This window comes from Homo sapiens, chromosome 11 (genome assembly GCF_000001405.40).
Source record: "Homo sapiens chromosome 11, GRCh38.p14 Primary Assembly".
NCBI classification, from domain to species: Eukaryota; Metazoa; Chordata; class Mammalia; order Primates; family Hominidae; genus Homo; species Homo sapiens.
Window position 1 is genome coordinate 110,662,185 of NC_000011.10, and position 19,650 is coordinate 110,681,834.

General features: G+C 35.0%; 1 protein-coding gene across 6 annotated transcripts in view; it reads right to left on the reverse strand.

The window, feature by feature from the left end:
• The window catches only part of ARHGAP20 (Rho GTPase activating protein 20), a 136,147-nt gene that overhangs the window by 85,142 nt on the left and 31,355 nt on the right, over positions 1-19,650 (reverse strand). The window lies entirely within an intron of this gene.

The following is a 19,650-nucleotide window of genomic DNA, read 5'->3' on the forward strand; positions in this document are numbered from 1 at the left end:
ATTTTAAAGTTACCAATGAAAGGAGAAAAAACAGTATTGAGGAGACAGAAATAGAAGCTGAAATTTATCTGAATACATCTTGTTTTAATAGATTCAACTTGAACTATGTAAATGTCTACATAATTATAAAATCAAATAAAAACTTTGTAAAACTATAAAAAATAAAATTAAAACAAATTAACCAAAATTTGTGTCCAGTTGGTAGCATAATCACACATAGAAAAACTATTCCACGTGACTTTAAAAAACACTAATATGGCTATACATTATTATTAGGATATACCGTAAAGATAGTTGCCAAAACAAATCTTAAACAATTTCCAGGAATCATATTGGTAGTGGTAGTGTTGATACTGTTTTTCTGAAACTATTAATAGTCTGTATACATTATAAGATAATGTGAGTAATTATGTGATATTTTAATTCCTACATTCCCAGTGTCATTGAGAGTGGTATTTTCAGCATAAAAGAAACGAAACATGAATGTTAACATTAGACTAGGTTTAATTTAAACAAACATCTGTAGTCCTGAATCTGAATTGGAAATCAATATAAACTCAGTCATGACATACTTTTTCTCTAAAGATAATTTGCCTTATGATGTGCACTGAAAAGACTTGGAAATGATGAACAACCTAGTAGAAATGAATGACCCTCATCCCCAAATGTAGTCTTGGAGAAATACCTGATTTCAGGTCTGAAGTAGGAAATATACAAGATGAACCAAGAACATCTTGTCATATTAAAAATACTCTTTTAAGCAATCCTGTATACCAAAGAAGAAATCAAAAAGAAAATTAGAAAAGTGTTGTAAACTTAATGAAAAGAAAAACATACTACATCTCAGAATTTGTGGAATACCAATAAAGTAGTACTTAGGGAGAAATTTATGGTATTCAATGCCTAAATTAGAAAAGACCTTAAAACAATTACCTCAGTTCACACCTTAAGAAACTTAAAAACAAAAGCAAATTAAGTGCAAAATATGAAAAGTAATAATATCAGAGTGGAAATCAATGAAATAGAAAACAGAAAAGTAATAAAGAAAATAAATGAACTATAAGCTGGTTCTTTAAGAGTACTCATAAAATTGTAAAAACTTTGCTAGACTGTTCAGGAATATGAGAAAATACACTAATATTACACTATATATTATATAATACTAATATATACAATATACTATATAAGACATTAATACTATAATTACTAATATCAGGAATTCCAAAGGTAACATTGCTACAGATGCTACACAGGTTAAAAGGATAAGGGAATATTATGAAAAACTATATGGCTATAAATTAGATAACTTAACTGAAATGGAAAAAATATCCTTGAACTACATAATCAACACAGCTTACTCAAAAAGAAACAACCTGAATAGTATTATTAAGGAAATTGAATATTTAGTTAAAGCCTTCCCACAAAACAAACAAAGGAACAAAAACTCCACGCCCAAACAGCTTAACAGTTGAATTCTACCAAATACTAATGAAAGAAATAAAACTAATTCTATACAAACTCTTCCAGAAAATTTAAGGGGAGAGAATAGCTCCCAATCCAATCAAAAGGCCAGCATTATTACCCTGTTATCAGAGCCAAAGACATTATACCAAAAGAAAAGTGCAGAACCAACACCTCTCATGAATACAGAGGTAAAAATTCTAAAAATACCCATCAGCAAACTGAATACAACAATATATGAAAAGGATATTACATCATGACCAAGTGAAGTTTATCCCAAGAATGCAGTCATTTTAACATTAAAAATTAATCAATATAATTCACATAGTACAAATTTAAAAAGAAAAATCATATGATCATCTCAATAGGTAGTGATGGTGAAAAGCATTTGACAAAATGTAATACTCATTCATGATAAAAAGTCAGTAATCCAGATATAGAAGTGAACTTCCTCTTTCCTCCTAATATTAGGAATAAAACAAAGAGGTCCACTAGAACCACTTCTCTTCAACATTTAACTGCAGATTTTGGCCAGATAAATCAGGCAAGGAAAGGAAATAAAGGGCATCTAGATTGTAAGGAAGAAGTAAAACTGTGCTTGTTCACAGATGACATGGTAGTCTATGTGGAAAGTTCAATGGAACCTACAAAAACAATCCATTGAAGCTAACAAGTGAGTTTAGGAAGGTTGCAGGATATAAGACATATATATATATACACATACACAAACACACACATATATATCAATATCAATTGTATTTCTACATATAGACAACACACATTCAAAAAAATGAAAGAAGGGGCCAGGCGCAATGGCTCACGCCTCTAATCCCAGCACTTTGGGAGGCTAAGGCAGGCGGATCATGAGGTCAGGAGATGGAGACCATCCTGGCTAACACGGTGAAACCCCATCTCTACCAAAAATACAAAAAATTAGCCAGGCGTTGTGGCGGGTGCCTGTAGTCCCAGCTACTTGGGAGGCTGAGGCAGGAGAATGGCGTGAACCCGGGAGGCGGAGCTTCCAGTGAGCGGAGACTGTGCCACTGCACTCCAGCCTGGGCGACAGAGTGAGACTCCGTCTCAAAAAAAAAAAAAAAAAAGAAAAAAGAAAGAAAGATATTGTTTACACTAGCAATAAAATATGAAATACTTAGGGTAAATATGAAAAAAGATATAAAGCACCAGTACACCGCAAACTACAAAACACTGTTGAGAGTTATTAAAGAAGACCTAAATAATGGAGAAATATATCTTGTTCCTATGTTGAGTCAATATTGTTAAGATATCAATTCTGCCTCAACGATCTATAGATTCAGTGCAATTCCAATCAAAATCCCAGTAGGTAGTCTGCAGAAATCAAACAGAGTATGTTTTCCAATTAAAATAGAAGTAAATTAAGAACTAATAACAGAAAGACACTAGGGAAGTGCCCATAAAACAATAACCCATAGGTATAAAAAAGAAATCATGGGGATATTAAAAAACATTTTGAATGGGATGTAAACAAAAACACATATGTAAAAATGAATTCACATATCCAATTTTATGAAATGCAGCTAAAACAGTGTTTTAAAAAGTTGAGACTTTTTAGACATATTAGAAAACACAAAAGGTCTAAAATCAATAATCTGAGTTTTCATTGTAAGAAACTAGAAAAAGGAGAATAAAATCCAAAATACATGCAAAGAAGGAAATAATGAAGAATGAAGGTCATTAAAATAGAGATTCCTGTTCCTGATTATGCTAGAATAATTTAATCTAACAACAAAATAAGAAAAAATATATAAAACAAAAATTTTCAGACATTGGACAACAGAAACACAGAACAATGATTCCTAAGAAAAGAGAAAAAAATGAGGTGAGGTCTAAGATTGTCCCAGATAGCAGCCTAGACAGAGATTCTATTGCACAGGGCAGGGAATAAGAAGCTAAACAGAGCCCAGCTTGAGGAGACAGAGTTGAGAAATCAAGGAGGCCAACTTAGATAGAATTCACAAAACAGAGTGCCTTGAGAAAAGAGCTGTCCAGAGAAAGAGCTCAGAGATCTGCAAAGTATTCCTCACAAGTTTTATCTGAGAACTGATCAGTGCATGTATGCGAGGAAATTACCTGAGGCTGGGAAAATAGCCACTAGGAAAAAGCAGGTAGGACAATACTCTAAAACTCATAGGGCTGGGAAGAATTCATGTACCCAAAAGCCAAAGTAGAGAAACCTAATGAATATAAGGCAAAGATGACGTGATTGTTGCTAAGGCAGAAAATTCTAATGAATCTCGAGAAATGCTACCAGATAAGTGAATTTAATATGGTCACTGGATACAAGATACATATACACACACACACACACACGTATATATGCGTGTCCGTAGACACACATATATACACACACATATATATACATATACACACACTATGATTCATTCCACATACTACCATTGAACAACTGGAATTTGAAATCTAAGAACTGTGCCATTTACAACAGCATCAAACAATATAAAACACCTAAGAATTTGACAAAAATGTGCAAGACATTGAGAACGATACAATACTGAGAGAAATAAAAACTCATTGAAATAAATGAAGAGATACCATGTTCATGGATAGAAAGACTCAATATTGCTAAAATGTTGATTTTACCCACACTGATATAAATGAAATGCAATCACTATTGAAATCAGCAGCATTATTATTGTAGAAATTGTCAAGCTGATTCACAAAATATATGAAAGCTTATAGGACCTAAAATAGCCAAATTTGAAAAATGAAAACAAAGCTAAAGGACTTGCAGAACATGTTTTAAAACATATTTTAAAGTTACTATAATCAGAAAAGGGTCATATTGGCATGAAGAACAGCACAGAATCCAAAGTAGACTAACACTTACATACCCAATTGATTGTAAACATACCTTGTTTTATTGTGCTTTACTTTATTGTACTTTGCAGATATTACATTTTTTACAAATTGAAACTTTGTGGCAATCCTGCATCAAGCAAGTCTATCAGCACCATTTTTTTCCAACAGCATATGATCACTTCACATTCCCATCACATTTTAATAATCTCACATATTTCAAACATTTTCATTATTATTACTATTTTATCTGTTGTGATCTGTGATCAGTAATCTTTGATGTTACTATTGTAATTGTTTTGGGGCACTGTGAATTAACACATGAGTGATAAGAACGTGATATAGCCTTATTGCTGATACGGGGAAAGTTTTAGGGATCAGGACAGATCAAACCAGCCACAACATTCCCTTAAGCCAAAGCCTAATCCAGAGCAAGGCTCTAAATCTCTTCAATTCTATGAAGGCTGAGATCAGTGAGTAACCTGCAGAAGAAAAGTCTGAAGCTAGCAGAGGTTGGTTCATGAGATTTAAGGAAAGAAGCTAACTCCATAACATAAAAGTACAAGGTGAAGCACTACATGCTGATGTGGAAGCTGTAGCAAGTTATCTAGAAAATCTAGCTAAGATAATTGATGAAAATGGCTACACTAAACAACCAAATTTTAATGTAGATGAAACAGCCTTATATTGGAAGAGAATGCCATTTAGGACTTGCATAGCTAGGGAGAAGTCAATGTCTAGCTTCAAAAGACAAGCTGACTCCTTTGTTAGGGGCTAATGCAGCTGGTGACTTTAAGTTGAAGCCAATGCTTATTTACCATTCTGAAATTACTTTCTGCTAAATCTACTCTGCTTGTGCTCTATCATTGGAGCAACAAAGTGTGGGTGACAGCATATCTGTTTACAACATGTTTTATTAAATATTTTAAGTCCATTGTTAAGACATATTGCTCAGAAAAATAGATTCCTTTCAAAACATTACTGCTCACCGATAATGCACCTAGTCACCCAAGAACTCTGATGGAAATGTACAAGGAGATGAAGGTTGTTTTCATGCTGGCTAACAAAATATCCACTCTGGCAGTGCATGGATCAAGAAATAATTTTGACTTTCAAGTCTTATAGCTGCCATAGACAGTGATTCCTCTGATGGATCTGGGCAAAGTAAACTGAAAGCTTTCTGAAAAGGATTCACCATTCTAGATAGCATTAAGAACATTTGTGATTCATTTGAGGAGGTCAAAATATCAATATTAATAGGAGTTTGGAAGAAGTTGATTCCAACCCTCATGGATGACTTTGAGGAGTTCAAGACTCCAGTGGGGGAAGTCACTGCAAATGTGGTAGAAACAGCAAGATAATTAGAAGTGGAGCCAGAAGATGTGACTGAATTGCTACAATCTCACAATAAAGTTGCTTCTTAAGGATGGGTAGAGAAAGTGGTTTCTTGACGTGGAATCTACTCCTTGTAAAGATGCTGAAATGACAACAAAGGACTTAGACTTAATTGATAAAGCAGTAGCAGAATTCCATAAACTTAACTGATAAATCAGTAGCAGAATTTGAGAGGACTGACTTCAATTTTGAAAGAAGTTCTGTGGGAAAAATGCTATCAAACAGTATTGCATGCTACAGAAAAATCTTCCGTGAAAGAAAGTCAATGTCTCAAATTTCATTGTTGTCTTATTTCAAGAAATTGCCACAGCCAACCAACCTTCGGCAACCACCATCCTTATTAGTCAGCAGCCAACAACACTGAGACAAGACCCTCCACAAACAAAAAGTTTGTATGATTGGTTGCATTTTTAAAAAGCAATAACATATTTTAAAATAAAGGTATACAAATTGTTTTTTAAAGTTATAATGCTGGACTGGGTGTGGTGGCTCACACCTGTAATCCCAGCACTTTGGGGGCTGAGCTGGGCAGGTTCCTTGAGCCAAGGAGGTTGCAACTAGGCTGGGCAACATGGCAAAACTGTTACTACAAAAAATAAGAAAAAATTAGCTTGGCATGGTGGCACACACTTGGAGTCCCAGCTACTCAGGAGGCTGAGGTGGGAGGATCACTTGAGTCCTAGAGGTGGAGGATGCAGTGAACCAAGATCGCACCACTGCACTCCAGCCTGGGCAACAGACCAAGACCCTGTCTCCAAAAAAATAAAAAGAAAAAAGAAAAGAAAGAAAATATATAATGCCATTGGCACACTTAATAGACTACAATATAATTTATACATAACTTTTATATGCACTGGGAAACCAACAAATTCATGCAACTCACTTTAATATTTGCCTTTTTTGGCAGTCTGTAATTGAACTTGCAATATCTCTGAGGTATGCCTGAATTTGACAAAGGTACAAAGGCAATTAAAAGGGAAAGGATAATTTGCTCAAAAATGATGCTGGAACAACTGAATAGCCATGCACAATAAAAATGAACACTGACCCTTATTTCATAAAATATATAAAAATTAACTCAAAATGGATCATAGTTTTAAATGTAAAATCTGAAACTATAAAACTTCTAAAAGAAAACATAGAAGGAAATTTTGACTTTGGATATAGAAAAAAATTAAATAGAACACAGAATGAACAAACTCAAAGAAAAAATGATAAATTGGACTTCATTAAAATTTAAAACTTGGCTCTTTGAAAAACATTGTTATGAGAGAAAGGCAAGTTATATACTAGGGTAAAATATTCACATGCCATATGCCCAGCAAGGCATTTATATATAGAACTGTGCTGCCAGTAGAATTTTCTGAAATTATGGAAATATTTTATATCTGCACTAATAGAAAGCCACTACTCATATTTGGCTAAATGAGCTCTTGAAATGTGTTTAGAGTGACTTGGGAACTGAATTTATATATTCAATTTTAGTTAACTTGAATTTAAATTGCCAGTGGTTAGTGCCTACCATACTGGATAGCACAGATTTGGAACATATGAAAAACACTTAAAACTCAACAGTAAGAAAAAAAAAACCCAACACAAAATGAGGAGATGTGAACTGGCTCTTTTTTTAAAGATTATCTAGGGATATCAACTAAGCTCATGAAAAGATGCTCAACATCATTAGTTATCAGGGGAACACAAATTAAAACCACAAAGAAATATAAGAATGCACACATAGAATACTTAAAATTAGAAGTTCTGACCAGAGCAAGTGTTGACGAAGATGTGGAGCAACTGTAACATTCACACACTGCTAGTGGAATATAAAATGATACAACCACATTAGAAAATAATTTGGCAGTTCGTAATATATACAACTACCTTACAACCCAGCCATTCCACTTCTTGGTACTTATTGAGAGGTTTGAAAGCATATGAAGTAAGAGTACACACAAATACTTGTACATGACTGTACAAAGCAACTTTATTTTTAATCATAAAATTTAAAAAACCCTACTGTCTACTAACACATAAAAGAAATAAAGAGGTTTTGGTATACCTACACAGTGCAATAGTACCCAGTAATAAAAAGTAGCATGGTATTTATATAAAATTCTCAGAAATGCAAACTAACCTATCAAGTAGCTCACTGATTGCCTGAGGATAGGTTGGCAGTATCAAGGAAGGATGGATTGCAAAGGCGCACAAGGAAACCTTTGGAGGTTATGAAAATGTTCATTATCTTGATCATAATGTTGGTATATAACATATAAAAATTCATCAAAATCACACACTTTATGTGTGCTTTATTGTACATAATTATACTTCAATAAATCTCTCAAAAATAAATCAATGAAATATAAAGTCAACACAATATAGAAAAGCTACAAAACTAGAAGCTGGTTCTTTGAAGAGATAAAATTCATATGCCTTTAACTAGACAGATCTAGGGGGAAAAAAGAGAATTTGGAAATTACCAACATCAAGAATGAAAGAAGGAACATTATAGCTCCTACACACATTAAAAACATAATTAAAATATTATGCATAACTCTGCATCAATTCACAACTAGGATGAAACAGACACATTCCTTGAAAGACACAAATTACCCGAACTGACTCAAGAAGAAACTGAATACTCACTAGTTCCATATCTATTAAATAAACATCATAATTAAAAATCTTCCCACAAACAAAACTCAACCCTAGATAACTTCAATGATAAATTCTACCCAACATTTTAGGAAGAAATAATGACATTCCTTCATACAATCTTTCAGAAAAAGGAAGTGACAGTTCCCAACCCATTTTATACCAAAACCAGACAAGATAATACAGGAAAACTACAGATCTCTATCTCTCATGAACATAGACTGAAAAATACTCCATAAGCCCACAACCCCTTTCTAACCACAAGAAAATATCAGACAAATCCCAATTGGAGAACATTCCAATTAACTGACCGGTCTTACCCCAAATTGTCAAGGAACAAGGAAGGTCTAAGAAAAACTCACAGTTTAGAAAAACTAAGAAAACATGATGACTAAATCTAACGTGGTATTCTAGATAGGATCCTGGTATAGAAAAAGTACTCTAGGTAAAAGCTAAGGAAATCTGAATATAGTATGACCTCTAGTCGATAATGTAATATTGGTTTATTAGTTATAACAAGTATACTGTAACATTGTAAGATGCTAAAAATATAGTACACTGGTTGAGAAATCTGCAAAAACTCTGTAATATTCTTGCAACTTTTCTGTAAATCTGAAATTATTCCAAAATAGAAATTTATTAAAAAAAATCAGTGGAATCAACCACATTAAGACTAAAACAAAGAAAAAAAAACCCAACAACATGATCATCTCAAAGTTGCAGAAAAAAGCATCTGATGAAATTTAACACACATTCGTGATTTAAAAAAAACACCTCACATACTGGAATTAAAGGATACTTCCTCCACTTTATAAAGAACACCTACCAAAAAATCCTAAAGCAAACATCATACTTAATGGTGAAAGACTGAATATTTCCCTACTTAAGATCAGCAATAAAGACAATACGTCTGCTCTTACCACTTTCGACAATACAGTAGAAGTTTTAGTACACTGAGGCAAGCGAAGGAAATAAAAATCAAACAAATTAGAGTGGAAGAAGTAAAACCATTTTTATTCACAAAGGGAATGAATGTGTATGTAGAATATCCTGAAAAATCTACATTAAAGCTAATAGAACTTTTTTAGATTAAAGAATAGGTCAATAACAAAAAAATCAACTGTATTTCTATATATTAGCAATGGACAAATGAATATGAAATAAAAAAGTCATAATATCGACAAAAACATGAAGATTTATTAGAAAGCTAAGTAATCAAGATATTATAATATCAGTAAGGAGAGACATGTAGACTGATGGAAAAGAATTGCATCTAGAAGTAGATGTATACATATATAGCCAATTGATTTTCTACAAAGGTTCCAGAGTGAAAACGTATGTACTTTTTGGGAAAGTACATTGGGAAAAGAAATTGTATTTCAATCAATTTCTTTGATTGCAAAGAAATTGCAGTTGATACTGCAACAACTGGATATCCATAGGAAAAATAATAATCCTCTACCCTTATTTTATACCATAGACAAAATTAATCAAACTTGATCCCAGACTTAGTAGAAAAGAACACAGGATAACATCTTTGAGACTTTCAAGTATTCAAATGTTTCTAAGATAGGACACAAAATCAATAAGCTTTACAGCTTTATAGAAAAAAATTAATTAGACTTTATCATAATTAAAAACTTCTGCATCTCTAAAAGTACTGTTAAGAAAATGAAAAGACAGATTTAGGGGAAACATCTGATTATATATATTTGACAAAGGACCTATATCCAAAATACATAAAAACTCTTTCAACTCTACAAGTTTACACATTAAAAAATGGGCAAAAGGTTGAAACAGATCACTTCACAAAGAAAAACATACAAATGGGCAGTAATTTTATAAAATGATGCACAATATTATTTGTCTTCAAGAAAATGCAAATTAAAACCACAAAGGGATGGCACCATACACCCACCAGATGGCTAATTTTTTTTTTCTTTTCTTTCGAGATGGAGTCTTGTTCTTGGCTCACTGCAACCTCCGCCCCTCATGTTCAAACGATTCTCCCACCTCAGCCTCCCGAGTAGCTGGGACTACAAGCATGCACCACCACACTTGGCTAATTTTTTCATATTTTTAGTAGAGACAAGGTTTCACCATGTTAGCCAGACTTGGCTGAAATGTTTTAAGGTGTCAAGCCAAAATGTTGGTCTTGGCTAAAATGTCTTAAGCTATTATTACTAAGTTTTGGTGAGGATGTGAAACAACTGGAATTCTCATACATCGTTGATAGGTATGTTAAATGGTACGACTACTTTAGAAAATAGTTCTGGTGATTTCTTTTAAAGTTAAACAAACATTACATGACCTAGTAATTCAACTCTTAAGATATTTACCCAACAGAGTGAAGACATACATCCACATAAAGATCTCACAAATGTTGATAGCAGCTTTCTTCATAGCAGCCCCAAATATCTCAAATATCTCTCAACAGAATAAACTAATTGTTGCATATCCATAAAATGGAATACTAGTTGGCAATATCAAAACAGAACAAACTTCTGATACATACAACATAGATGAATCTCAAAAAAATCCTGCTGAGCCAAAAGGGACTAACACAAAAGAAATATATAAGACAAAAAGAGGGATATTTCCATTTGATAAAAGGTATAACACACCAAAAGATCCTAAACTTTATGGACCTAACAATATATGTTCAAAACACAGAAAGCAAGAAACTAATAAGAAGAAATTTACAAGTCCACAACATAAGTGGGAAACATTTCACAGCCCTTTTAGCAAATGACAGAGCAAGAGGACAAAATATTAGGAAGGATATTGATGATTTACATAATCAATAACATACTTTTAAAACATATAATAGAGTACTCATAAAAACTTAGCTACATTGTCAAGTCATAAAAAAATTTTAAAATCAGATACGATACAACCATATTCTCTGATACAAGCCATAAACTTAGGTATCTACATTAAAAATTATGGCCATAAAAGAAAACAAAACCAAATAAAACAACATTTTAACTGACTGCTTTATACTAGGAAATATCTAAAGATAAGTAAATAAAAGAATTACACTAAGCAGTGTAATTTATAGAAAGAATTGTTGGCCTCCAGAGTTAGAGATAAAAGTCAGTGATTGGTAAGTGGCAGAATCATTTCTGAACCATTGTGTCACTTTCATTTAAAGTGATGATCTCTGATCTGTCCACATGGAGCCAGAACAGACAGAACCTTATGGCCACCATGATATTATAATAGTAACAGTTAAGTTTCTTAAACCTAGTCCTTGGTACAGTCTTTATCTTATCAGATAGAAAACTCTCAAAACAGGCAGTCTAATATGATGGCTAAGGTAACAAATTTTAGAGTCAGAGAGAAGTAAATTTAAATTTCAACTCCATTACTTAATAGTTGTGAGAACGAAGGCTATTTTTTTTTTTTTTTGAGACAGCATTTCGCTCTGTTGCCCAGGCTTGAGTGCAGTGGCATGATCTCAGCTCACTGCAACTTCTGCCTCCCAGGTTCAAGCAATTCTCTTGCCTCAGCCTTCCGAGCAGCTGAGATTACAGGTGTGTGTCACCACACCCAGCTAACTTGTATTTTAGCAGTGATGGGGTTTCACCATGTTGGCCAGGATGTTCTCGATCTCTTGACCTCATGATCCACCTGCCTCAGCCTCCCAAAGTGCTGGGATTACAGGCGTGAGCCACCACACCCAGCCAGCTATTTTAAATCTCTAAGATTAAATATCTTTATTTGTAAAATGAAAAAGCCATTCAACAATGTATACACAATGTACTTAGTTTAGAACCTGGCACCTGGTAAGCACTCCGTTTAAATTAAAGCAATTATTAATACAGGTTGAGCATCCCTGATCTGAAAATCCACAATCTGAAATGCTCCAAAATTGGAAACAATTTGAGCGCCTACACGATGGCATAAGTGGAAAATCCCATACTTGATCTCATGTGACAAGTCACAGCCAAAATGCAGTCAAAACTTTTCTTTATGTGCAAAATTATTTAAAATATTATATAAAATTACCCTCAGGCTACATTTATAAGGCATATATAAAACATAAATGAATTTTGTACTTAGAAATCCCCAAGATTTCTCATTATATATATATATGCAAATATTCCAAAATCCAAAATAAAAATCTGACATCTGAAACACTTCTGGTCCCAAGCATTTTGGACAAGGGATACTCAACCCTTATTATCAATACTAATATGTTGTTCTACACCTCAAAACTCACCATGTTCAAAACTTGTTCACCTTCTTGATTAGCCAATCAGTTAATGATTGATGTCATCACCATCTACCCAGTCTTCAAAAACTAGAAACTTCATTCTTAGCTCCTCTCACTTCCTTTTCTTAACTGTGATAATGAATTACATATATCATCTCATCTTATTTTATTATACTTTAAGTTCTGGGGTACATGTACAGAACGTGCAGTTTTGTTACACAGGTATACACGTGCTATGGTGGTTTGCTGCACCCATCAACCCATCACCTTTACATTCAAATCTTACTCTCACTTCTAAGTATCTCTATTTTTCCTCTTCACTGCTTCAGTTCAGATTTTTATTATCATTTGCTTCAGTGATGTTCAACTGTCTTCTAAATGGTCTACCTGCCTTGTCTGTCTTCCAATCAGTTATTTGATAGAGCCAGTTTTCAAAAACACAAATTGTATCACTAACTTTGATTTTCTCAGAACATTTCCCTACTATATAGAAATCTAAGGCCCTCAGACTGACAGAGACCACTTCTAATCTGGTCCTTATTTACTGTATTGGCCTCATTTCCTTTCTCAAAGTTTGCCATGCCTTTCTACACACTTTGAGCTCTAACTTAAATTCTCATTGCTAGAACATTATATCATCCGTTGTCTCTGCTAGAGCAGTGGTTCCCAACCTTTTTGGCACCGAGGACCAGTTTTGTGGGAGACATTTTTTCCATGGATGGTGGGGAGTTGTGGAGGAGGAGGAAGGATGGCTTCAGGATGAAACTATTCCACCTCAGATTATCAGGCACAGGCTTTAGATTCCCATAAGGTGCACACAACCTAGCTCCTCCACATGCACAGTTCACAGTAGGGATTGTGCTCCTAGGAGAATCTAGGTGGTAGGTAATACTTGCTTGCCTGCCACTCACCTCCTGCTGTGCTGCCAGGTTCCTAACAGGCCACGGACCAATACCAGTCTGTGGCCCGGGGACTGGGGATCCCTGTGCTAGAGGACTCCTACTTATCCCTCAAAACCCAGCATAGATAGCAGTACCTCTATGAAGCTTTCCCTCATGCCCTAAGGCAGCTGCTTTGTTCTCCTGTTTCTACCTTAATTATAACACTTATAGTCTATTCAAGAAATTTACTTCTGACAAATTTTTTTTCCTCCACCAGGTTATGAGCTCCTTGAAGGCAAGCACAGAAAAGCAGATCTAATTTGACAGAGTGCCTGCCTCATGGTGAGCAGTCTTTGAATGAATCACAACATTTTTGTAAGGAAAAGCTGAGACGTTGAAAATAAAAATATATGGTATTACAACTCCCGCACATTTATTTCACAACTCTCTACTTCATGTTAGAAGTTTAAACAAATCCATATAATTGTATACACTTTCAGCATTTTTCCATATGAGAAACACATAAATACAGCAAGTGGAGAATATTTCAACCATATACAGCATCACATTGATCATGTTTGTCATCAGTTTTAAAATACATAAACTTTGAAGCTGAATGACAGAAAAAGGTATTGTTTTAGTCTGTTCTCATGTTGCTAATAAAGACATACCTGAGACTAGGTAATTTATAAAGGAAAGAGGTTTAATTGCCTCACAGTTCCTCAGGGCTAGGGAGGCCTCAGGAAACTTACAGTCATGGCAGAAGGGGAAGCAAACATGTCCTTCTTTACATGGCAGCAGCAAGGAGAAGTACTGAGCAAAAAAGGGAAAAGTCCCTTATGAAACCATCAGATCTCATGAGAACTCATTCACTATCATGATGGTAACCACCCCCATGATTAAATTACCTCTCACCAGTTCCCTCCCATGACATGTGGGGATTATGGGAACTACAATTTAAGATGAGATGTGGGTGGGGAAACAGCCAAACCACATCAGGTATAAAGGTTGATATCTCTGAATATAAACCAAAATTTTTTTTGTACCTCCTTGCATTTTCCAAATTTTCCAAAATGTACATACATTAATTTTATGATAAAAATGTATGCAAAAATGAAAAGTAGGTATTCTATAAAACCAAAATTATAGAGACTTAAATCTCCTCAAATAAGTTTTTTTTTTAAAAAATTGACAAAACATACAGATTTATGGTGTATAACATGATATTTTGATATATGTATACAATGTGGAATGGTTAAATCAAGCTAATTAACATTATTTTATAGACTCTACATCATGGGAACCTGACAAAGGATCACAGTTGGATTCAATGTATAGAAATTATTCTTTTCCAAAAACAAAGTTAGACTTGATGAAAAAACATACCAACCCAAAGGCATATAAATACAAAATACAGAATGAAGTGGACAATTGAGTTTGGTTGGTCTTCATTATCATGATGTTTCAGGTTCAAGTGCTTTGGGGCCTTACAAACTTCAAATTAAATGCTTTAATCCTATACTTTGCTTTGCATGTACATATATAATACTAAGAACAGAATTTGACAATAAAGAACTCCTAAAACTTGTTAATAAAAACTCAAACAACCCAATTAAAAATGCCTTAAGTTTTAAATAGAAATTCCTCCCAAAAGACATACAAATGACAAGCACATGAAAGAATGAGCAACATCATTAGAGAAACACAAATCAAAACCATGATAAGGCCACAGACATTGTGACCCATTCCTGTAATCTCACCACTGTGAGAGGCCAAGGTGGGCAAATGGCTTCAGCCCAGGAGTTTGAGACCAGCCTTGGCAAGACAGCGAAACCCAGTCTCTACAAAAATTAGCCAGGTGTGGTGGTATGCACCTGTGGTCCTAGCTACTCAGGAGGGTGAGGTGGGAAGATTGCTTGAGCCCAGGATTTTGAGGCTGAAGTAAGCCATGATCATACCTCTGCACTCCAGCCTGAGTGACAGAGCAAGACTCTGTCTCAGGAAAAACAAACAAATAAACAAACCCCACAATAAGCTACTTCTTCATACCCACTAAGATGGCTATAATAAAAAAGATAGAAAATAACAAGCACTGGTAAGGATGTGGAGAAATTAGAATGCTCATATATTGCTGGTGGGAATTTAGAATGGTGCCACTGCCTTGGAGAATAGTTTGATGGTTCCTCAAAAGATTAGTGTTACCGTAAGACCCAACAATTCCACTCCTAGTATATACCCAAGAGGAATGAAACATATGTGCAAACAAAAACTTATACATGAATGTTCACGGCATTATTCATAAATAGCCAAAATGTGGAAACAACCTAAATGTCCATCAATTAATGAATGAATAAACAAAATGTGGTATACCTATCTATAAAACAGAAAGTAATAAAGTACTGATACATGCTACAACATGGATGAACCTTGAAAACATCATGCTAACTGAAAGAAGCTAGCCACCAAGACCAAACAGCACACGATTTCAGTTATTTGAAATGTCCAGAAGAGTCAAAGTTATAAACATAGACAACAGTTGAGTGGTTGCTTAGAGCTGGGGATGTGGAAGTGCAGCAGGAGAGAATAGGAGTGACAGCTAATGGCTATGCATTTCTTTTTTGGGGATGAAAATGAAGATTTTGGTGATGGCTTCACATCCCTGTGGATATAGTAAAAACCACTGAAGTGTACACTTTTAACTGGTGAATTATACCATAAGAACTGTATCTCCATAAAGATGTTGTTTTGTTTTGTTTTAAAAAAGATGTTGTCTGGCCCCTTTTTCAACAAATTACATGATCTGGGGAATTGGCCTTTTCATTTATAAACTGGAATAGCATCTGTTTCCATCTTTCCACCTCTAGCTGTAAGAATACATAAAACATATTAATACATGAGAGAAACATTCTAGAAAGCTAGTTTCATAACTTGAAGATTACTCTATTGATTTATTGCTGCAATAACAAATTACCCCCAAACATAGCATCTTAAAACAACAAACATTTATTTATTTATTCATTTATTTATCTTTTCTGAGACAGGGTCTCATTCTGTTGTCCAGGCTGGAGTGCAGTGGCACAATCACGGCTCACTGCGCCTCAACCTCCTGAGCTCAAGCAATCCTCCCACCTCAGCCTCCTGAGTAGCTGGGACTACAAGGTCCACACCACCATGCCCAGATAATTTTCACATTTTTTTTTGTAGAAACAGGGTTTTACCACGTTGCCCAGGCTGGTCTTGAACTCCTGAGCTCATGCAATTCCACCCGCCTTGGCCTCCCAAAGTGGCTAGATTACAGGCATGAGCCACTGTACCCGGCCAAACAAATATTTATTACCCTACACAATTTATAAGGATCAGAAACCTGGAAGTGTCTTAGTTGGGTGGGTCTTAGGTCTCTTGAGGTTGCAGTAAGATTTCAACCAGGGCTGGCTGCAATCTCTGAAGTCTTGACTGGAGTGGGAGGGTCTGCTTCCAAGAGCCTTCATGTGGCTATTAGAGCCTTCAGTTTCTCATCTTGTGGGTTCCTCCATAGGGCTGCTCATGACATGGCTTCCTCCAGATCAAGTGGTCAGAGAAAGAAAGTATGACAGCAATCAAGAAGGAAACTCCACCTTTTGTAACCTAATCTCGGAAGTGGCACATCACTACTTTTACCAAATCCTACTGGTTACACAGAGCAACTCTGATACAGTGTAGCAGGGATTAGACAAGGGTATGAATACTAGGAGGCGGGAATCACTGGATGCCATTGTGGAGGCTAGTTACCAAAACGACATGATAACAAGTAGACCAGATTCTACATAAGCAAATGTTTGACCTTTGCACTGAAAGAGGATACTACTTACTCCTCAACAGTGTGACAGACACACTCAGAGATGTTTTATGAGTTGCAATAAAAGGGTGTTCAAGAACATTCATACTGATTTTCATTCTTCCTGTAACTGAAGTATGCTTAGAATAATGAAACACAAAACTGTAGAGCTGGGGTGAAAAAAGTATGAGAAGAATTTAGTCAACTTTATTCTCCCCTCCCCTATCACCAACAGATGAGGGGAAAAAGTCCCAGTCATGGAAAGAATGGGTGACTCCACCAGGGTCACATAGTGCTAGAGCAGGAGACTAGAATCCATTCTCTGTGTTTTCTCATCATACTCAGAACTATGTATCAGAAAACCAAAGGCAGTGACTCATAATCCAGATGACATGGTGTACATGTAAGCATTAATTCAATATACATTAAACAGCTGGTCACTCCAGAATGGACATTTCTTTCTGTGGCTTTTCAACACTGGATGTGTACACTTTCTCAGGTAGCAGTAGACTCTTACCCTCTTTCCATCCAACTAAGAGTTGACCCATAGTCAAGTTGAGGCAAGACCTAAACCTGGAACACTCGGCAAATTAGACATTATGTGACAGGAGACCCTAAAGATTTATATATTTTTAATAATTTTATTTAATGAAACATTATATAACAGTTACAATATGCCAAATACATTATAAAATTAACTCATTTAATCCCCTATGAAGTCATCCCCATTTTACAGATGGATAAAGTGAGGCCTGAAGAGGTTAAGTAACTTGCCAAAGTTCTCACATCTGGTAAGAAGAAGGGCCAGGGTTCAAACCCAAAAAAGAATGGCTACAGAGTCCATACTTTCTTAACCACAATAATATGAAGCTTCTCAATAATAGTAATAATTGTTCTTCTGCTTCCCTAATATGTCTTTTTTTCAAGGTTCTGAAGGAAGGTCAATCATGTAATGCCAAAACTCTGAGAAATCCTAGCTTTCAAGTTGTATAGGGGAAGAGAGTATCTAGTTCAATATAGTAAGGATGTCGTAGGACAGACTGCTATCCCTATGAACAGGGGTGAGGAAGGGCAAATAAACATGCACTAATGAGGTAGTGCTTTCCTGGTGCCAAAATGAAAGATACAATTGAATCATAACTGCAATTAGCAAATTAACCTAAAGTTGGAATTAAGAAATTAAATGGATGTGCTGTTCTGTAGCTACAAAAATAAATTAATTTGACCCCATCAAAGCCCACTAGAATGTGGAGAGACTAAATTTAATCTCCTAAAGATTTCCTCCCAGAATCATACCACAAGAAAATTAGCACACTGCACCACAAACAGATGTATTTGATCATTTTTTAAATAGTATGAAAAGTAGTTTGAAAAGAATAAAGCAATATATGGGCCTGGAAACCTTTTGTCTAACAAAGTAATGAGTTTCATTTTGGTAAAAAATTTGCCAACTTTGCCACCTTATAAAGCAATTGCTGTCTCTTTTCCTTATATCTGAATTTTACAACTTTGAAAAATGTTCCTTGCAAGGAAAAAAAAGTGGGGTTTTGCAGGCTACTGGCAATCTTCAAGTATTAAATTTCTACTTTGGTGTTCGCATCATATACCTTGGATCATTCACAGATCTCTCAAATAAAAACCTCACAACGTATTGTCCAAAACTGTAGGAATGGACCTTATGTAGAGCCAATTGGCATGTTATGCAAGACAGCACATGGAACAGTGTTTGACATAGAATTTTTCTAAAATAACATGTCAGTATAGTTTATTGTAATTTTGAAAAGGTCTTAAAGATTTTTAAAAATTCCTCTAAAGTTCAAAATTTTATTTAAGTCTTATACCAAGAAACCATACCTAGGTATAGAAAGTTTATAAAATTCCAAAAAGTCTGGTAACTTCTCTTTTAAATTAATTTTTCCTTTAAGTGATATCAATTGTTATTACAACTACCTTAGAGTCTCAGCATGAGAGTGGCCTTTATGAGGTCGTTGAGTTCATTCCCATTACTATATCTGAAAGGTCCACACTAAACTGTCACAGGTAAAGGCAGTTTTTCATTCTGTTATGAAAGAAGATTTTACTACAATCCTCAGTAAACCACTGCAGAGTATAAATGTACTTCCTTCATTCGAAAGTATGATAAGCTATTATCCACTTTAGGCTAATACTGAAGTTATGATGCTAACATGACAGAGGAAAAAGGAAGTGGAATAATGAGGAATTCGTAGAACACAATGGGGGATAGTCAGAGTAGGACAATGTGAGCATGGTGGTGTGTGGTCATGCACAACAGGAGTGAATGAACCCAAAGTGGAAGCCAGTTAGCAAATGGCTGCTTTCCTAATTACAAACGCCTTCTGACTGGGCTCCCTCAC